The sequence below is a fragment of the Homo sapiens genome, chromosome 22 (genome assembly GCF_000001405.40).
Source record: "Homo sapiens chromosome 22, GRCh38.p14 Primary Assembly".
Taxonomy (NCBI): Eukaryota; Metazoa; Chordata; class Mammalia; order Primates; family Hominidae; genus Homo; species Homo sapiens.
The window spans coordinates 31,525,374-31,547,043 of NC_000022.11; the positions used below are offsets into that span (position 1 = coordinate 31,525,374).

Below are 21,670 nucleotides of genomic sequence, written 5' to 3' on the forward strand. Positions count from 1 at the left end.
TTCCCAGCACCATTTATTAAGGAGGGTGTCCTTTCCCCAATGTTCTTGGAGCCTTTGTCAAAAATAAATTGGCACTGGGTGCGATGGGTCACACCTGTAGTCTCAGCACTTTGGGACACCAGGACAGGCGGATCACTTGAGCCTGGGAGTTCAAGACCATCCTGCGCATGTGGCAAAACCCCATCTCTACAAAAAATTAGCCAGGTGGTAGCATGTACTTGTAGTTGCAGCTCCTCAGGAGGCTGAGGTGGGAAGATCACCTGAATCTGGGAGGTCAAGGATGCAGTGAGCCGTGATTGCATCACTGTATTCCAGTGGGGCAACAGAATGAGACTCTGTCATTCATAGATAGATAGATAGATAGATAGATAGATAGATAGATAGATAGATAGATAAAGTAGCTTAATAACTTGATACTCTCTGTTCTGTTCCATTGGCCTATGTGTCTGTTTTTATGCCAGTACCATGCTGTTTTGGTTACTACAGCTTTGTGGTTTATTTTGAAGTCTGGTGGTGTGATGCCTCCAGCTTTGTTCTTTTTGCTGAGGATCACTTTGGCTATTTGGGATCTTTTGTGGTCCTATACAATTTTTAAGATGTTTTTCCTATTTATGTGAAGAATGTCACTGGTATTTTTATAGGGCCTGTGTGCATTTTAGCATGTTCTTCTGTCCTCTGTTCTCAACCTTTTTCTGCAAATTGGTAACTGGATTTAGAGACTTAATTAGATTTAAGTTTTATTTTTTGGGAGTAGTACTAGATAATCTTATAGAAGCAAAGCACTGAACAGTACCATACTCAAATATGATACCTGTATTAGAGCATTCTCATGCTGCTATGAAGAAATATCTGAGATAAGTAATTTATAAAGGAAGGAGGTTTAATTGACTCATAGTTCTGCATTTCTAGAGAGGCCTCAAGAAACTTACAATCATGGTGGAAGGGGAAGCAAACACGTCCTTTTTCACATGGCGGCAGGAAAGAAAGTGCAGGGTGAAGTGGGGGAAAGCCCCATATAAAACCATCAGATCTCGTGGAAACTTACTCACTATCATGAGAACAGCATGGGGGAACTACCACCATAATCTAATCACCTTCCATGAGGTCCCTCCCATGACACGTGGGGATTATGGGAGCTACAATTGCAGATGCGATTTGGGTGGGGGCACAGCTAAACCATATCAATACCTATGTTTTGTTGTTGTTGTTGAGACAAGAGTGTCACTTTGTCGCCCAGGCTGGAGTGCATTCAGTTCACTGCAGCCTCTGCCCCCTGGGTTCAAGTGATTCTCGTGCCCCAGCCTCCTGAGTAGCTGGGACTACAGGCGTGTGCCACCACACCCGGCTAATTTTTGTATTTTGTATTTTTAGTAGAGACGGGGTTTCACCATGTTGTCCAAGCTGGTCTCAAATTCCTAACCTCAGGTGATCCGCCTGCCTCAGCCTCTCAAAATGCTGGAATTACAGGCTTGAGCTACCGTGCCTGGCCATCAATACCTACGTTGGAACTATCAGGGAATTTTATTTTTTTCTTTCTTCCTGTCCTGTCTTGTCCTGTCCTGTCGCCCAGGCTGGATGGAGTGCAATGGCATGGCTCACCGCAACCTCCGCCTCCCGGGTTCAAGCGATTCTCCTGCCTCAGCCTCCCAAGTAGCTGAGATTACAGGCACCCGCCACCACATCCGGCTGACTTTTGTATTTTTAATAGAGACGGGATTTCGCCATGTTGGCCAGGCTGGTCTCAAACTCCTGACCTCAGGTGACCCTCCCGCCTCGGCCTCTCAAAGTGCTGGGATTACAGGCATGAGCCACTGTACCTGGCTGAGAACCTGTCTTTAAAAAAAAAATTAGATTGCTTCTACCTTTTGGCTGTTGTGATTAATGCTTCTACCTTACTTTTTATAGTTACCCCGTGCCCTGCAAATATGTTCACTCTTGACTTTCATTTCTTTAAACATATTCATTTTAGCATATACAGCTGTGTGTGTGTAAAGAAAAAGGGGTATGTGGGAACAGTCTGTTCGTTCTTCACAATTTTGCAGTAAACTTCGAATTGTTCTTAAAAAACAAAATCTAAGAGACTGATTGTGGTAGCTCACACCTGTAATGCCAGCATTTTGGAAGGCTTAGTTGGGAGGATTGCTTAATCCCAGGAGTTCAAGACCAGCCTAGGCAACATAGCAAGACCCTATTTCAAGAAAACAATACAATAAAATTTTTTAAAAAGTATATTAAACTTTGTGTGTGTGTTTGTGTGTACATACGTGTGCTTTACCCTCAGTGCAGATATTCTGAAGCAAGAGATCAAGAATGAGATCAGGCCGGGTACAGTGGTACATGTCTGTAATGCCACCCCTTTGGGGGGTTGAGGCAAGAGGATTACTTGAGCCCAGGAATTTGAGACTAGCCTGGGCAATATAGTGAGACCCTGTCTCTAAAAAAATAAAAATAAAAAATTGGCCGGGAACAGTGGCTCAAGCCTGTAATCCCAGCACTTTGGGAGGCCGAGGTGGGTGGATAACCTGAGGTCAGGAGTTCAAGACCAGCCTGGCCAACATGGTGAAACCCCGTCTCTAATAAAAATACAAAACTTAGCTGGGCACGGTAGTGGGTGCCTGTAGTCCCAGCTACTAGGGAGGCTGAGGCAGGAGAATTGCTTGAACCCGGGAGGCGGAGGTTAAACGAGCTGAGATCGCGCCACTGCACTCCAGCCTGGGCAACAGAGTAAGACCTTATCTCAAAAAAATAATAAAAATAAAAAGTTAGCTGGTCATGGTGGTGCATGCCTGTAGTGTCAGCTACTCAGGAGGATGTGGTAGGAGGATTCCTTGAGCCCAGGAGTTCAAGACCAGCCTGGGCAACACAGTGAGACCTCATCTCTTAAAAAAAAAAATTATCAGGACACAGTGGCGAGCACCTGTGGTCCTAGTTGCCTAGTTGCTTGGGAGGCTGAGATGGGAGGATCACTTGAGCCTGGGAGGTCGAGGCTGCAGTGAGCTGTGGTCATGCCACAGCAATCCAGCCTGGGCAACGGAGTAAGAACCTGTCTCAAACAAAAGAAAACTGTGTTAGGCCTAATGACTCCAGGGGGTGCCCTCCAGCTCTGTAGTTCCTGCCTAGAGCTGACCCAGCAGTACCCACCTCTAGTGGTTGGCCAATATTTCTGTCAGATTGGGCTGCTTATTATCCTTGCAGCATAGGTATTGTCAGTCTCAATGAGCTTATCTGTTTAATTTTGCTTGTATATTAAAAGTATTTGCATCACATGCAGAGATAACTTTATTCTCTCCTTGCCTCTTTCGTCCTCAAATTTAAGGTATTTTAAGGATGGTGCAGTTAAGAAACCTTATTCTGCAAAGACACTGTCCAACAAGAAGTCTTCTGCATCCTTTGGGATCCGGAGGGAGTTACCTAGTACCAGTCATCTAGTGCAGTATCGTGGCACACATACTTGTACCCGACAGGGCCGGTTAAGAGAACTGCGCATCAGGTGAGCTTATGAGTGGCCACCAGTCTATGGGTACTTTGCTTTTGTTCTCCTTTCTTGGTTAAAATGGGGGAATGATTCTTATTCTTCCACCGCAATTAGTGGGAGATCTTGATGCCTGTTCTTGGTAGTAGAATGTTCAGATGAAAAGGATATTCAGGAACCTGCAGACATAAAATCTGTCATTGAGTGTTTTCATTTCTCCACTTGTGCCTCACAATATGACGCTATCAAGATTCTTCCAGAAAAAGTCTAAACGTGGTCCAAGAAAGAAGGAACTACTCTTTTTTGCTATTCTTTTTTTCCCCCCAGATTTTCTGGTGAATTCTAGAAGAGCTGTAACACTTCTGCTACTCTCGATTAGATATATTAGAGACATCTGTTTCTTCATTCAAAAATTTATCAGGTCAGGTACGGTGGCTCACACCTGTAATCCCAGCACTTTGGGAGGCCGAGGCAGGTGGATCACCTGAGGTCAGGAGTTTGAGACCCCGTCTCCACTAAAAATACAAAAAATTAGCTGGGTGTGGTGGCACATGCCTGTAATCCCAGCTACTTGGGAGGCTAAGGCACGAGAATCGCTTGAACCTGGGAGGCCGAGGTTGCAGTGAGCTGAAATTGCTCCACTGCCCTCCAGCCTGGGCGAGAGTGAGACTCTGTCTCAGAACAACAACAACAGATTTATCTGGTGCTTACCCATGCCAGGTGTTACGCTAGATGCTGAGCATATAAAGTGAGTAAGATCATCTTGGTTTATGACTTAATGAGAGTTTAAAATCAGGTAGGCTTGATAGACTCTTAAGCCACAACAATAAAGTGAGATTAGTGCAATGAGAGGAGAAGGATGTGGTACCACAGGCAAATACGGCGAGAACAGCCACACTAGTATAGCCAGCAGTTACTCTCTGGAGGAAGTGGAGTTTAAGCTCAGCCCTGAAGGATAATGTAAGAATAAGCCAGATAAAGGGCAGGAGAAGGTGTGTTTTAAGTTGAGCTCAAGGTTTAACTCTATAAGACAAGCCACCTTTGGCCGGGTATGGTGGCTCACGCCTGTAATCCCAGCACTTTGGGAGGCCGAGGCGGGTGGATCACGAGGTCAGGAGATCGAGACCATCCTGGCTAACACAGTGAAACCCCGTCTCTACTAAAAATACAAAAAATTAACTGGGCGTGGTGGCAGGTGCCTGTAGTCGCAGATACTCTCTGGAAGCTGAGGCAGGAGAATGGCGTGAACCCAGGAGGTGGAGGTTGCAGTGAGCCGAGATCACACCACTGCACTCCAGCCTGGGCGACAGAGTGAGACTCCATCTCAAAAAAAAAAAAAAAAAAAAAAAAAAAAAAAAGACAAGGCCGGGCGCGGTGGCTCACACCTGTAATCCCAGCACTTTGGGAGGCCGAGGCGGGTGGATCATGAGGTCAGGAGATCGAGACCATCCTGGCTAACATGGTGAAACCTGGTCTCTACTAAAAATGCAAAAAATTAGCCAGGTGCAGTGGCGGGTGCCTGTGGTCCCAGCTACTCGGGAGGCTGAGGCAGGAGAATGGTGTGAACCCAGGAGGCGGAGCTTGCAGTGAGCAGACATTGGGCCACTGTACTCTAACCTGGGCGACAGAGCAAAACTCTGTCTCAAAAAAAAAAAAAAAAAAAAAAAAGACAAGCCACCTTTGTGTGTATACCAGACACTGTGCTAGGTACTGGAGGTACTATAAAGCACCAATTTCTGCTTTCAGGGGCTCACAGTGCAGAGGGAATGACAGACACCCTGTGAGCTGATCTCTGTGATATGGTGTCATAACATTACAGGAGGGGTTTGAACAGAGTGCTGAGAGTACACAGCTACTCACTCTGTTTACATTGGAGAAGGTTCAGGCATTTGCCGGCCATTTTAGGCAGGAAGAATAATATGAACAAAAGAATTATTATGTACTTCCTGTACCTCATTTTTGAAGTTTTTAATCTCTTCACTGACAATTTATGTTGAAAATATTTTTTAAAAATAATCTGCTTGATTTTAGCTTTATAAATCTGCCCCATCCTATGCCCTGTATGATGCAAAATTAGCTATGATACCGCCTTTTGATTCATACTAACATCCCTCTGCTGAGACCTTAAAGGCTTCCTTTCCTTTCCAGAAAACTGCTGATGTAAGCCAAATGGAATTTTAAAATATGTATATGCTTTTTTTCCTTCTTTCAGATGCGTGGCCAGAAAGTTCTTATATTTATGGATTCGAATGACTTTTGGAAGAGTATTTCCCTCTAAAGCCAGGTAGTATTAGCTCAGAACAACATAATTGTGTTGAGTTCATTCTAGGGTTTTCTTTTATATTAAGCCTGTATATAAACTTCATTATGGCTTGTGCTGTTACATTCCTCCCCAGCCTCCAGTAGGTAGAAGCAGTCCCTAATATAACCATGTAATACAGTGGTAACTTCATATCTGTTAGTTGACTGCAGCTGCATTCATGGTGAGCTGTGAATGTTATCTACAAAGTAGCCAGTAAAGGTTAAGTTTTAGTGTTCAGTGGTGTGGCCTTTAGCTAGCTACTGTGGCCTTCAGCTTCAAAGAAAAAGAAAGAAAAAAAAATAACAAGCAAGTGACCAAATGAAAGAATCAGGCAGGGCGCCGTGGCTCACGCCTGTAAACCCAGCACTTTGGGAGGCCGAGGCGGGTGAATCATCTGAGGTTAGGAGTTCGAGACCAGCCTGGCCAACCTGGTGAAACCCCGTCTCTACAAAAATTAGCCGAGCAGCCAGGCATGGTGGCTCATGCCTGTAATCCCAGCACTTTGGGAGGCCAAGGTGGGCGGGTCACCTGACATCGGGAGTTTGAGACCAGCCTGACCAACATGGAGAAACCCCGTCTCTACTAAAAATACAAAATTAGCCGGACGTGGTGGCGCATGCCTGTAATCCCAGCTACTTGGGAGGCTGAGGCAGGAGAATTGCTTGAACCCTGGAGGCGGAGGTTGCGATGAGCCAAGATTGCACAGTTGCACTCCAGCCTCGGCAACAAGAGCGAAAGTCCCTCTCAAAAAAAAAAAAAAAAAATTAGCTGAGCATGGTGGCATATGCCTATAATCCCAGCTACTCGGGAGGCTGAGGCAGGAGAACCACTTGAACCCTGGAGGCATAGGTGGTGGTGAGCCGAGATCGCGCCATTGCACTCCAGGCTGGGCAACAGAGTGAAACTCCATCTCAAAAAAAAAATAAATGAATAAAAATAAGAATAAAAAAGAATCATACTTAAGTAAATCAGGATAGATAAGATCTCTCTGGGAAAAGTGTTTGCCCAAGAGAAGTAATTGAGCTCTTTCAGGGCACTGGTGAGACTGACAGATTGGCTTGATCAAGTGCAGAACCTGGGGGAAAAAATTGGCTTTGGCAAAGGAAATGAAATTTTAGTGAGGAGCAAATTCCTCTGTCATAGCTTCATTTTGTATAGACCAGTGCTGCCCATTGCTGTGGTTTTGGGTTATAATTGCTTTAGCTGCAGTGCTAAGAGTGGACTGCAAGAGAGAGTCACAGGAGTCAGGGACACCATACAGAAGGCAGGGGAGCTGGAGAGAAGGGACCAGTGCGAGGTATGTTTCCAAAGGAGAATTGGCAGCCTTTGAGAATGTAAGCACTTCTTAAAAACTGAAATGTCTTGGGTTCCCTCCTGCTCCCCTCTTCCCCTTTTCTTTCCCTTACTGTAATCTTTCCTGTTTCATTTTTTGACAGTCTGACTCCTTCATTCAATGTCTCTCAAGCCAACTTGGCCTGTGTGTGTTTTCTGAAATCTTTTCTTTGTATACTTTATGAGGGGCCCTGCTGTTCCATCTCTTCCTTTTTGTATGTTTACAGTGAAGCTCCTGATGTGGCTATGTTACTGGCCAGGTCTAGGTCCATTCTGCCCATGTGTGGTAAATCAATCACTGTGACACAGGTTTTGCAAAAGAGAAAAAACTTACTTGCAAGGCCACTGAGCGAGGAGGTAGGAGAACAGGTCTCAAACCGGCCTCCCCAAAGATAAGCCTTAGGGATATTTGTGGGTTAGGGAATTGGGGTGGTTTAAGGTGTGGGGAAAGGTGATTGGCAGTGGGGAAAATGCAGTAACATTCATTGCACACAAGTGTAGTCAGGGTTCATGGCATGTCATAGGACACGTGTACAGAAAATAGAGGCGTTAACATGATCCAAGGGTGGAGTTTTTGGCCCTCAGGCATCAAAAGTCCCTCTCGGGCTCCTTCACAGGCCCAGTTGAAGGGTTGGTGGTCTCTATCAGTTTGAACTGTACAGGAGCTAGCCCAGGTTTCCTGAAGAATAACTGAAGTGACCATTGCCATGGTGACCTATGAATGTTATCTACAAAGTAGCCAATGAAGGTTAAGTTTTAGTGTTCGGGCCGGGCGTGGTGGCTCCTGCCTGTAATCCTAGCACTTTGGGAGGCCAAGACAGGCGGATTACTTGAGGTCAGGAGTTTGAAACCAACCTGGCCAACATGGTGAAACTTTGTCTCTACTGAAAATACAAAGAAATTAGCCAGGCATGGTGGCAGGTGCCTGTAATTCCAGCTACTAGGGAGGCTGAAGCAGGAGAATTGTTTGAACCCGGGAGGCCGAGGTTGCAGTGAGCCGAGATCATGTGACTGTACTCCAGCCTGAGCAACAGAGAATCTGTCTCAAAAAAGTTGTAGCGTTCAGTGGTGTGGCCTTCAGCTTCAAAGAAAAAGAAACAAAAAAAAAAAGAAACAAGCAGCGACCAAAAGCAAGCAGGGCAGCTGAGCTGATCATGTTACTCCCTTGTTTTCAGCTGTAGCCTGTCCCAGCTGCAAGTGCTAGGCATTGTTCACCTCTATTTTACCTTCTTCTGAATCTTGGGCATGTCATCCTTCACTGCCTTGGTAGCTCTTCAGTGCCTTAAATAAATTTTTTTGCTCTGCTTTTTTTGTTGTTCATTGGGAGAATTGATCTAAATTGCTATTGTCAGAATTCTCTCTTTTTTGTTTAATTTATTGCATATTCTATTCTCCACTGTTAGCTTAGAAGTTATATTCTGTTTTACTCTTCCTTTACTGACTGTCCAGATAAGTTACAAATGTGAATGTGTATTTTCATTCAAATACAAATGTATATTTGTAACTTACCAGAATCTAATGTTAATTGGTTCTTTACCCTCTTCCTAGATAAGACAGAGTCCTTAGAATACTTTAGCTCTGCCCATCTCCCTCTCTTTGTGTATATTTTTAAATCTATAAAGCATTATTACTCTCATTTTATTTTATTTTATTTTTTGAGACAGAGTCTCGCTCTGTCGCTCAGGCTGCAGTGCAGTGGCACAAGGTTTTACCATGTTGGCCAGGCTGGTCTTGAACTCCTGATCTCAGGTGATCTACCCACCTCGGCCTCCCAAAGTGCTGGGATTACAGGCCTGAGCCACTGTGCCCAGCCTATTATTCTCATTTTATATAGCCAATATTTATTTAGATTTATTCACATATTTACCCTACTTACCCTTCCTTTTTCATTTGTTTTTCTTTTTTTGCCCTAACATTACAACAAATATTTACCCTTTCTGTTGCCTTTTTTCTTTCTTCTCACATCTCCAGGTTTCTATCTGTGATAATTTTCCTTCTCCTATCAGAACGTCCCAGGGTATTCTCTTTCGGGTAGGTCTGCTAGTGAGAAATTCTCTCATATTTTGTCTAATTCCATCTTCACCTTGGAAGGATATTTTCACTGGGTATGAAAGTCTGGGCTGCTGGTTTTTTCCCAGCACCTCAAAGATATTCCATCACTGTCCTATGGCTTCCATTTCTAAGCTGTTAGTCTAATTTTTGCTCTTTTGAAGATTCATTGCTTGTCTTAGTTTTCAGAAGCTTGGAATTTATTTTCTTATAATCTTTTATCTCATTTTGAGATTGTAAACAAGGTTTTTTTTTTTCTTTTTTGTGGACAAATCTTCTGGCATACTTGTGTTTATATATGTGTTATTCTGCTCCTTATCTTCTTTCCTCATATAACTTCAAATGCTTTTTTTTTTTTTTCCTGAGACCGCATCTCACCCTGTTGCCCAGGCTGGAGTGCAGTGCCATGATCTCAGCTCAGTGCAACCTCCGCCTCCTGAGTTCAAGCAATTCTTCTACCTCAGCCTTCCACATAGCTGGGACTACAGGCACCACACCCAGCTAACTTTTTTATTTTTAGTAGAGACAGGGTTTCACCTTGTTGGCCAGGCTAGTCTTGAACTCCTGACCTCAGGTGATCTGCCCAACTCAGCCTCCCAAAGTGCCGGGATTACAGGCATGAGCCACGGTGCCCGGCCTCAAATGCTTTTTTATTGCTTTTTTTTTTTTTTTTTTGAGACATAGTGTTGCTTGCTCCGTTGCCCAGGCTGGAGTGCAATGACGCGATCTCGGCTCACTGTAACCTCTGCCTTCCGGGTTCAAGCGATTCTCCTGCCTAAGCCTCCCAAATAGCTGGGATTACAGATGCGTGCTACCACACCCAGCTAGTTTTTGTATTTTTAGTAGAGACAGCATTTCACCATGTTGATCAGGCTGGTCTCGAACTCCTGACCTTGTGATCCGCCCGCCCTCAACCTCCCAAAGTGTTTGGATTACAGGCATGAGCCACCGCGCCTGACCTTTTTTTTGTTTTTTCTTTTTTTTCTTTTTGCTGAGACAGAGTCTCGCTCTGTTGCCCAGGCTGGAGTGCAGTGGCGCGATCTTGGCTCACTGCAACCTCTGCCTCCTAGATTCAAGCAATTCTACTGCCTCTCCTGCCTCTGCCTCAGCCTCCCAAGTGGCTGGGATTACAGACGTGCACCACCATGCCCGGCTAATTTTATTGCTTATTTTTATGTGAAATTAGTTTTCCTGAATTTTAGTTTTTAAATTTATATGTCTTTATATATTTTTTAGAGACGAGGTCTCGCTGTATTGCCCTGCAGTGGTGTGATCATAGCTCACTGCAGCCTTGAACTCATGGGCTCAATTAATCCTTCTGCCTCTGCCTCCCAAGTAGCTGAGACTGTAGGCACAAGCCACCACACCTGCCTTATTATACTGAACTTTTAGAGTGAGTCAAGGTTCGGTTAAGTTTTACTAATTTCATAGAACTCCTTCTTCTGTTGTTTTTGTTTAGGGTTCAAAAATATAGTGGCTTTTTTAATGGGGTATCCTGGTTTTGTTCCCTTACCACACTTGGTCTGGATTTTCTTTTTCCTTGTCTCTTTTGACCCTCTCCTGCTCAAATTTTTTTCTACCCGTGGCTGTTTCTCCTCCATATGAAGCCCTGTCCTAGAAGGGTACCCTGGCAGATGAGTTTTGAGATTCCCTAGGGGCTGGACTGCTCTAGCTGTTTCAGTTCTTATGTGAGCCCTCGTGCTGGAGAGGATAAAACTCATAGTTTCAGCTGCTGGTCTTAAATTGGGCCTCTGTACCTTCCAACAACAGCTCATTGGCTATTTTAGGGTTCTCCTGTTGTTAGGTTCCTCAGATGCTACTCGGGGATCCAAAGATTGAAAACTGTGTTGCTACCTCCACTATTTTCCTAAAATCCGTTTTATTTATTTATTTATTTTTTGAGACGAAGTTTTGCTCTTGTTGCCCAGGCTGGAGTGCGGTGGCACGATCTTGGCTCACTGCAACCGCCACCTTCTGGGCTCAAGCAATTCTCCTGCCTCCGCCTCCTGAGTAGCTGGGATTAAAGGTGCACGCCACCATGCTCTGCTAATTTTTTGTGTTTTTAGTAGAGACGGGGTTTCACCCTGTTGGCCAGAGTGGTCTCAAACTCCTGACCTCAAGTGATCCACCTGCCTTGGCCTCCCAAAATGCTGGGATTACAGGCATATGCCACCATGCCCGGCCCTAAAATCTATTTTTTACTCAATTTTATTTATCTATATTTGACCCATATTTGACTGGGAACCTCTTTTCAAATAATGCCTTCCAAGTCCTTGGGAAATGCTGATTGTATGTTAGAAGTACATTGACTCTAAGAGAAAGCCTAACAATGGCTGAAACAAATTGAGATTTGTTTTTTCTGTTTTTTGTTTTTTTTTTTAAAATTAACTTTTTTTTTACCTTTAGAGACAGGGTCTCACTATGTTTTCCAGGCTGGTCTTGAACTCCTGCACTCAAGCGATCCTCCCTGCTCTGCCTCCCAAAGTGTTAGGATTACAGGCATGAGGGGATTTACTTCTTTTTTTTTAACAAGCCACCTGGAGATTGGCAGTTACTGGTATTGCTTCAGCTGTTCAGTGATGTCGTTTTAGACTCAGGCTTCTAGTACCTTTCTAGTTCAACATCCTTAGCACATTGGCCCTTTGTCCTCATAGGTAACACTTCGTAGTTGCAAGATGACTATTCTAGCTTTACACAGGAAGGTGGGGGTAAGGGTGGCGTCAGTTTGATCTCTTTATCAGGAAAGAAAACTTCCCTGGAAGTTCCCCACTGCATTCTGCTTCTGCCTCATTGGCCAGAGCTTTGTCACCGGCCACCTTTAGCTACAGAGGAGGTTTGGAAAGAAATCTTTCTGGCCTCTGTAGTGGATACTTACGAGAAAAAGGGCTTGGCAGTGGGTGTTGGGTTAGCCAGTGACTGCTAGCTAACCTGCTACATTGCTTTAAAACATTCGCATTATGCTGTTTTTCATGTCTTCGCTCTTCAGTGGTAGGCGGGTGTAGAGGAAAGAATACTGGACTAGAATTAAGGAGACCTGAGCTTCGGTTCTAACCCAGGCCCTAGCTAATTGTTTGATCTGAGGATAGTTACGCCTGTAGGCCTCAGTTTTGCAAATTACAAAATGATAGAGTGAGAATATTTGTTTTCTAAGCAGCTACCAGAATTAGAATTCTGATACTGTGTTTCCATTGACTTAGAAATTTGTGAAGGGATAGTTATTTTCTAATATCTATATATCAATATCAAATATCAATCTGTTAAAATCAAGTAGGTTCTTTGTTACTTGGGGGAACATTGGGCATCCTGATCTTTGTTTTTAGGCTTTTTCCATACTGAGTTATTTATTTCTCAATTTTAGGAGTGTTAGGCGGGAATAATATCATACCACAAACTACAGAATAATGCCTTTATGTGCTTAGATAATGTTTTAGCTTTGTTTTTTGTTTGTTTGTTTGTTTTTGAGACCGAGTTTCACTCTTGTTGCCCAGGCTGGAGTGCAGTGACGCGATCTTGGCTCACTGCAACTTTCGCTTCCCGGGTTCAAGCAATTCTCCTGCCTCAGCCTGCCAAGTAGCTGGGACCACAGGCATGCGCCACCATGGCCGGCTATTTTTTGTATTTTTAGTAGAGACGGGGTTTCACCATGTTGGTCTCGAACTCCTAACCTCAGATGATCCACCCACCTCAGCCTCCCAAAGTGCTGGGATTACAGGCATGGGCCACTGCACCCAGCCTTAACCTTTTTTTTTTTTTTTTAAGTACAATTTCCATTTTATTTTTCTCTGGAGAATAATTTTTCTTCAGTCCTTAAGGACACAGTTTCTTAACGGGTTTTAGTGGGAGTCATGGGGCAACGCCTGCAGGTCGAAATGGAGGTGTGGGTATTCAGTCCTAGCAGCCTTCATGAGATTGATTTCTAACTACTTTGCTGTGAATGGCACAACTCACATATTAAGGTAGCTTCATATATGGCTTGGGTAGCACCTAGGCATCAAAGATCCTCACTTCAGAAATGTCCCTGACTGCTGCAGCCTCTACTGTGTTTCAAATGATGAATTTCTCCTGTTTTTGTTAAAGTCACTACATTTGCTAAAATCAATGATGAATTCCTAAACTTTCTTTAACTTGACCTACCAGGTAGCATTAGAGAGTCCATCATTTCCTTCTTCTAGAATACCTTTCTTCTCCCAGGTTCTAGTTACCATCCTCTTGTGTTTTTTCTCCTACCTGTTTGACTGCCCCTTCTAACTCTCCTTTGTTGATTCTTCCTCATCTGAATATCCCAACACCTAGTCTTTGCACTGCTTCTCTAGCTGCCTCACAACCAAAATCTCATTAAATCTCACAGTGATTCTCAGATGTGTATGCCCAGCCAAGACCTCTGCCTTGAAACTCTGGACTTTTACGTACGTGACAACTCCACTGGGTGTCACACCATAGTATGCCCGAAACTGAAATCGTCATCCTCCCCCTCTCAGTGAGTGGAAACTCCATCCTTCCAAGTGCTCAGGTCAGAAATGGTGAAGTCATCCTTCACACCTCTTGTTCTTTCACACCCCAATTTAAAATGCCATATGCCAAAATCATGTTGCTTCAACCTTCAAAATGCATTCAGAATCCAGCCACTTTTCAGACCTCCAGTAGCTACCACCCAGTCCAAGCCATCAGCATCTCTCCCCCGAGTGACTCCAATGGCCCCTCATTGGTCTCCTGCTTCCTGTCTTGCCCCTAGTCAGTATCTTCTCAGGAGGTAGTCTGAGTAAATCAAGTCACATCATTCTGTCAAACTTCCAGTGGCTTCCTGCTGAAAGTAAAAGCCCAGAGTCCTTACTGTGGTCTATAAGACCAACCAACTTTTTGTGTCACCTATTGAGTTTGTTTTTCATTTCTGCTGTCATATTTTTAATTTCCGAGAGCTTGTTCTTGTTCTCTGCATGTTCCCTTTTTAATTTCCAAAAGCTTCTTTTGTTCTCTGCATGTTTCCTTTCTTTTTAATAGTATCCTGGAGGCTCAAAATTTTTTGAGGATAATGTGGTTTAAGATTTTTATCTGCTTACACTGTGTTTCTTCTAAGATCCTTTTTTCTTTGTATTTTTGGTCACTCTGTCATGTTGGAGCCTTTCCTCAAATGTCAAGAGATTCTTTATTGTCTGTTTATATTTAAGAGCAGGACCCTAAAAAGCTTATTTTAGAAGCCTTTTTTTTTTGAGACAGGGTCTCACTCTTGCCTAGGCTAGAGTGCAATGGCATAATCTCAGCCCACTGCAACCTCTGCCTCCTGGGTTCAAGTGATTCTCCTGCCTCAGCCTCCAGAGTAGCTGGGATTACAGGCATGCACCACCACGCCTGGCTACTTTTTGAATTTTTAGTAGAGATGGGGTTTCACCACGTTGGTCAGGCTGGTCTCAAACTCCTGACTTCAGGTGATCTGCCTTACCTCGGCCTCCCAAAGTGCTGGGATTACAGGTGTGAGCCACCACACCCAGCCAGAAGCTTTTATATGTAAGCATGAAGACTTATAACTTGAAGGCTTCACTGTAGGCTTTTGGGGCAGATTTCACCAGGGAATCTAGCTGTCTGTGTCTCTGAAGGCCTTTCCCCTTAGGTTGATCAGTTTTCCCCAGACAAAAGAGATACCCTCTAACTCCTTCTGGCACGGGGTGGGGGGGTGGGATTGAGATGAAGGTGGTAATTTTTTAATTTTTTAATTTGTTATTTATTTATATTTTATTTTATTTTATTTATTTATTTATTTTTATTTTATTTTATTTTTGAGACAGAGTCTTACTCTGTCACCCAGGCTAGAGTGCAGTGGCGCAATTGACTCACTGTAACCTCCACCTCCCAGGTTCAAGCAATTCTTCTGCCTCAGCCTCCTGAGTAGCTGAGATCACAGGTGCCCACCACCATGCCTGGCTGATTTTTGTGTTACTAGTAAAGACGGGGTTTCACCCTCTTGGCCAGGCTGGTATTGAACTCCTGACCTTGTGATCCACCCACCTTGACCTCCCAAAGTGCTGGGATTACAGGCGTGAGCCACCGCGCCCAGCCTACATTTTTTTTTTTTTTTTAAACAGAGTTTTACTCTGTTACCCAGGCTGGAGTGCAATGGCATGATCTCGGCTCACTGCAACCGCCACCTCTCAGGTTCATGCGAGTTGCCTGCTTCAGCCTCCCAAGTAGCTGAGACCATAGGCATGCGCCACCACGCCTGGCTAATTTTTGTATTTTTAGTAGAGATGGGGGTCTCGCCATGTTGGCCAGGCCGGTCTCGGACTGCCCTCAAGTGATCCACCCACCTTGGCCTCCCAAAGTGCTGGGATTATAGACATGACACTGCATCCAGCTGAAGGTGTTAATTATAAGCTTGGCTGCAAGCAGGGAAAGGGATGGTGGGTGTCATTGTTCAGTTTGTAGACTTTTGGTCTAGGACCATCTCCCAAGCTTTGCCTAGTATTCTGGAGTCCAGTTCTCCTCTGGCTCGCCTCTCCGGAGATATACCTGAGTCTTTGCTTGAGTGAATATGAGTGAATAATGGGATCCAGGGGCCTAACCACTTCTGACACATAGGCTTGCAAACAGTCCTGTGTTTTCATCTCAGTCCACAGCTCCTCGCCTCCTGATGCGTCTCATTTCCACCCCTTTCTGGGGCCTGTGCCACCAGCTGGGTGCTTCTTGTCTCCCTTCTCCCCCTACAAGAAGACACTTAGTTCTCTCCTTTATCTGGTGATTCATCTGCCACTCTCTTGCCTAAAATTGACTAAAATTTGTTGACGGCTCTTGTCTGTCACCCTTTCTCCTATTCTCTTGGTCTTTTTAGGCTTACACCTTTTTGAATACATTTGCTGTTATTTAATGCGGCGTGGGGAATGGAAGGAGGTAAATGGTTATGTTCATTTCACCATGTGCAAACGGTTCCTTTTTATTACAATTTTTTAGAATTGTAGGCCAGGCGTGGTTGCTTGCGCCTGTAATCCCAGCACTTTGGGAGGCCGTGGAAGTGGATCACAAGGTCAAGAGTTCAAGACCAGCCTGGCCAACATAGTGAAACCCCGTTTGTACTAAAAATACAAAAATTAGCCAGGTGTGCCTGTAATTCCAGTTACTCAGGAGGCTGAGGCAGGAGAATTGCTTGAACTCAGGAGGCAGAGGTTGCAGTGAGCCGAGGTGGTGCCACTGCACTCCAGCCTAGGTAACAGAACAAGACTCCATCTCAAAAAAAAAAAAAAAAAAAAGAATTGTGAATAAATCTGTTCAACAGTCTTTCAAATATTATAGAAATGTACAGTTTAGGCTGGGCATAGTGGCTCACGCCTGTAATCCCAGCACTTTGGGAGGCCGAGGTGGGCGGATCACGAGGTCAGGAGATCAAGACCATCCTGGCTAACATGGTGAAACCCCGTCTCTACTAAAAATACAAAAATTAGCTGGGCATGGTGGTGGGTACCTGTAGTCCCAGCTACTCCGGAGGCTGAGGAAGGAGACTGGCGTGAACCTGGGAGGCGGAGCTTGCAGTGAGCCGAGATCACACCACTGCACTCCAGCCTGGGTGACAGAGTGAGACCCCGTCTTTAAAAAAAAAAAAAAAAAAAGAAATGTACAGTTTAGGAGCCAGTCTCCTATAATCTCTCCCCCACCCCCCGAGAGAGAACCACTGGCATTAGTTTGATATTCTGGAGTCTTTTCAGGCTTTTAATGTGTATGATGTAATCATTTATGTATGCATACACACATGCTTGTTTATATGTACACAAATGTGTGTGTGTGTGTATATTTGATGTATTCCAACATATGGGTGCTATAAATACATAAAAATAGGCCGGGCATGGTGGCACATACCTGTAATCCCAGCACTTTGGGAGGCCACGGCAGGCGGATCACCTGAGGTCAGGAGTTCAAGCCCAGCCTGGCCAACATGGTGAAACCCCATCTCTACTAAAAATACAAAAATTAGCTGGGCATGGTGGTGTATGTCTGTAATCCCAGCTACATGGGAGGCTTAGGAAGGAGAACCGCTTGAACCCGGGAGGCGGAGGTTGCAGTGAACTGAGATCGTGCCATTGCACTCTAGACTGGACGACAAGAGGGAAACTCTGTCTCAAAAATATATATATAAATACTATTATTTATTTATTTATTTATTCATTCTTTGAGACAGAGTCTCACTATATCATCCAGGCTGGAGTGCAGTGGCCTGATCTCAGCTCACTCCAACCTCCACCTCCTGGGTTCAAGCAATTCTTGTGCCTCAGCCTCCCAAGTAGCTGGGACTACAGGCATGCACCACAACGCCCAGCTAATTTTTGTATTTTTGGTAGAGATGGGGTTTCGCCACGTTGGCCAGGCTGGTCTCAAACTCCTGAGCTCAAGGGATCTGCCCACCTTGGCCTCCCAAAGTGCTGGGATTACACGTGTGAGCCACTGTGCCTGACTTAATTTTTTTTTTCTTTTTTTTTTTTTTGAGACGGAGTCTCACTCTGTCTCCCAGGCTGGAGTGCAGTGGCGCATCTCGGCTCACTGCAAGCTCCGCCTCCCAGGTTCACGCCATTCTCCTGCCTCAGCCTCCTGAGTAGTTGGGACTACAGGTGCCCGCCACCACACCTGGCTAATTTTTTGCATTTTTAATAGAGATGGGGTTTCACCGTGTTAGCCAGGATGGTCTCGATCTCCTGACCTCATGATCCACCCGCCTTGGCCTCCCAAAGTGCTGGGATTACAGGCGTGACCTAATTTTTTTAAAAAGATACCATATTATACATACCACGCAGTGACTTTATTTTTTCACCTAATCACTTTCTGAGGCATCTGTCCCTTCAGTACCCTTAGCTCTGCTTCATTCATAGAAAATGAGCACATGGCATTGATTAATTGTATTAACCTGTCCTCTTTTGATGGGTATTTGTGGTGGTTCACTCTTCTCTTATTATTATTATAAGCAATAGTGAGGTGAATTACCTTATGTATGTCTTTGTAAGCTAGTTTTTAAAAACCGTGAGTGGAATTGAGCATGGTGGCTCATGCCTATAATCCCAGCACTTTGGGAGGCTGAGGCCAGTGGACCACCCGAGCTCAGGAGTTCGAGACCAGCCTGGCCATCGTGGCAAAACCCCATCTTTACTAAAAGTACAAAAATTAGCTGGGCATGGTGGCACACGCCTGTAGTCCCAGCTACTCTGGAGGCTGAGGCAGGAGAATCCTTTGAACCTAGGAGGCGGAGCTTGCAGTGAGCCAAGATCGCGCCACTGCACTCCAGCCTGGGCGACAAAGCGAGACTCCATCTCAAAAAAAAAAAAAAAAGAAAAAAAACTATGAGTGGGTTAGGAGGAGTGACATGTTAGTAACCTGCAGAACCATGAAAAGAAATTTAAAGTGATTGACAGGCCAGTGTGGTGGCTCATGCTTGTAATCCCAGCACTTTGGGAGGCCAAGGTCAGCAGATTGTCTGAGCTCAGGAGTGCAAGACCAGCATGGGCAACATGGCGAAAACCCGTCTCTACTGAAATACAAAAAATTAGCTCGTTTGGGTGGCGTGTGCCTGGAGTCACAGCTACTCAAGAGACTGAGGCACGAGAATAACTTGAATGCATGAGGTGGAGATTACAGTGAGCAGAGATCATGCCACTGCACTCCAGCTTGGGTGATATAGCAAGACTGTCTCAAAAAAATTTTTAAAAAATCAGCACCATCTGTCACTGCTTTTCTGTGTTCCTTATTACCTTTTTCCTGACTAATTTCTCTTACTCATCTTTTGCTGTTGTTATGACTCCCCTCTTCAGATTTCAGCTAAATTAATATCCTGTGTTCCTGTTAAGTACTAGGAATATTATTAGGCATTTACTTATTTTATAAGTTTAATTTCCTATGTTTGTAAATAAGACATTACTACTTTTTAGTAATAAAAATATTTTTCATTCTGGTGAATGAAAAAAATTAAAAATAATAATTTTCAATTCACTTCATGGTGTTTGAAAAGTCAGATTTTGGGAGACCAAGGGAGGAGGATCACCTGAGCTCAGGAGTTCAAGACTAGCTAGGGTAACATAGTGAAACCGTGCCTCTACAAAAAATAAAAAATTAGCCAGGCATAGTAGTGGAGCATGTCTGTAGTCACAGCTATTTGGGAGGCTGAGGTGGAAGGATCACTTGAGCCTGGGATGTTAAGGCTGCAGTGAGCCATGACTGTACCACTGCATTCCAGCCTGGGCAACAGAGCGAGACCCTGTCTCCAAAAAAAAGTCAGATTTTTATTTTACTTTAACATCTTTAATCGGTAAAATCAATATTAAAAAATTTTTAACCTCATTTCTAGTTTAAGTAGCTCTGAGATTCTGACCTGAAAAAGCCAAATATATCTATTTTCCCTCTTTTTAAGTTTTTTTGATTGTTTAAGAGACAAGGTCTTGCTCTGTTGCACAGACCAGAGTGCAGTGACACATTCACGGCTCACTACAGCCTTGACCTCTGGGGCTCAAGCGATCCTCCCACGTAAGCCTCTGGAATAGCTGACACCACAGGTGCGTGCCTCCATACTTGGCTAACTAAAAAAATTTAGGGGGGGCTGGATGTGGTGATTCAGGCATATAATCCCAGCATTTTGGGAGGCCGAGGCAGGCAGATCACCTGAGGTCAGGAGTTTGAGACCAGCCTGACCAACATGGAGAAACCCCATCTCTACTAAAATTACAAAATTAGCTGGGCGTGATGGCACATGCCTGTAATCCCGCTACTCAGGAGGCTGAGTCAGGGAAATCGCTTGAAGCCGGGAGGCAGAGGTTGCGATGAACCGAGATCACACCATTGCTCTCCAACCTGGGCAACAAGAGCAAAACTCCGTCTCAAAAAAAAAAGAAAAAAAAAATTTGTAGAGCTGGGTACAGTGGCTCATGTCTGTAATCCCAGCATTTTGGGAGGCTCAGGTGAGGATTACTTGAGCCCAAGGGTTTGAGAACAGCTTGGGTAATACAGTAAGACATTGTCACACATTTTTTTTTCTTATTTTTTGGGTAGAGATGGAGTTTTTAATTTAATTTAATTTAATTTAATTTAATTTAATTTAATTTTATTTTATTTTGAGACGAAGTCTCACTTTGTTGCCCATGTTGGAGTGCAGTGGCTCGATCTCGGCTCACCACAACCTCTGCCCCCTGGTTCAAGCGATTCTCCTGTCTCAGCCTCCCAAGTAGCTGGGACTACTGGCGTGCACCACCATGCCTGGCTAATTTTTGTATTTTTAGTAGAGATCGGGTTTTACTATGCTGGCCAGGCTGGTCTCGAACTCCTGACCTTGTGATCCACCTGCCTCGGCCTCCCAAAGTGCTGGGATTGCAGGTGTGAGCCACCGTGTCCAGCTTTTTTTTTTTTTTTTTTTTTTTTAATGTATTTGAGACAGGCTCTTACTCTTTCGCCCAGGCTGGAGTACAGTGGTGCAATCTCAGTTCACTGGAACCTCTCCCTCCTGGGCTCAAGCGATCCTCCCACCTCAGCCTCCCAGGTAGCTGGGACTACAAGAGCATGCCCCCGCTATGCCTGGCTAATTTTTTATTTTTTGTAGAGATTGGGTTCCACCATGTCACCCAACCTGGTCCTGAACTCCAGCAGTCCAACTACCTCAGCCTCCCAAGGTGCTGGCATTACAGGCATAAGCCACCACATCCAGCCCTAGATGGAGTCTTGCTATGTTGCCCAGGTTGGTCTTGAACTCCTGGCCTCATGCAGTCCTCCTACCTTGACCTCTGAAAGTGTTGGTATTACAGGCATGAGCCACCATGCCTGGCCTCTATTTTTAATCTATCTTGGTGTTTACTTTTTCTTTTTTTTCTTTGAGAGGGAGTCTTGCTCTGTCATCAGGCTGGAGTGCAGTGGTGCAGTCTCAGCTCACTGCAACCTCTGCCTCCCGGGTTCAAGCAATTCTCCTGCCTCAGCCTCCTGAGTAGCTGGGACTACAGGTGCGTGCCACCATGCCCAGGTAATTTTTGCATTTTTAGTAGAGATGCGGTTTCACCATGTTGGCCAGGATCTCTTGACCTTGTGATCCACCCGCCTTGGCCTCCCAAAGTACTGGGATTACAGGTGTGAGGCACTGCGCCCGACCGATGTTTACTTTTTTTTTTTTTTTTTTTTAGTAGAGACGGGGTTTCACCATGTTAGCCAGGATGGTCTCGATCTCCTGACCTTGTGATCCACCCGCCTCAGCCTCCCAAAGTGCTGGGATTACAGGTGTGAGCCACCACGCCCGGCTGTACTTTTTCATGAGACGGCAAGAATATGTGATTTGGGAAGAGATGTTAGCTCCAACATCATCATATATATATATGATTTTTTTTTTGCCGTAGATTTTACTATGAGCAGCGATTACTACGGAAGGTCTTCGAAGAATGGAAAGAGGAGTGGTGGGTTTTCCAGCACGAGTGGAAACTCTGTGTTCGAGCTGACTGTCACTACAGGTCAGGTTTCATGTTACACTCCTTCAGTTTTACTGATGCACATTATCAGATGATTATTTGTTGGCGTGTTTA

General features: G+C 44.6%; 1 protein-coding gene and 1 pseudogene across 5 annotated transcripts in view, besides 1 other annotated feature; one reads left to right on the forward strand and one right to left on the reverse strand.

The window, feature by feature from the left end:
- The window catches only part of SFI1 (SFI1 centrin binding protein), a 122,450-nt gene that overhangs the window by 29,235 nt on the left and 71,545 nt on the right, over positions 1-21,670 (forward strand). For 2 of the 5 annotated variants that reach the window (NM_001007467.3, NM_014775.4), the window contains exons 3-5: positions 3,317-3,490; positions 5,685-5,756; positions 21,488-21,598. In NM_001007467.3, coding sequence (NP_001007468.1) covers positions 3,317-3,490; positions 5,685-5,756; positions 21,488-21,598 — 357 coding nt within the window. The remainder of the gene's footprint in view (positions 1-3,316; positions 3,491-5,684; positions 5,757-21,487; positions 21,599-21,670) is intronic. The other 3 variants (NM_001258327.2, NM_001258326.2, NM_001258325.1) reach the window with 2 other exon arrangements.
- Positions 853-1,062: an enhancer, noted in NCBI's record as "active region_18861". NCBI's record gives its function as "activates an Ori minimal core promoter by ATAC-STARR-seq in GM12878 lymphoblastoid cells {active_cell/tissue: GM12878}" and the evidence as "EXISTENCE:reporter gene assay evidence [ECO:0000049][PMID:35858748]".
- RPS26P59 (ribosomal protein S26 pseudogene 59) lies at positions 12,979-13,216 on the reverse strand (annotated as a pseudogene).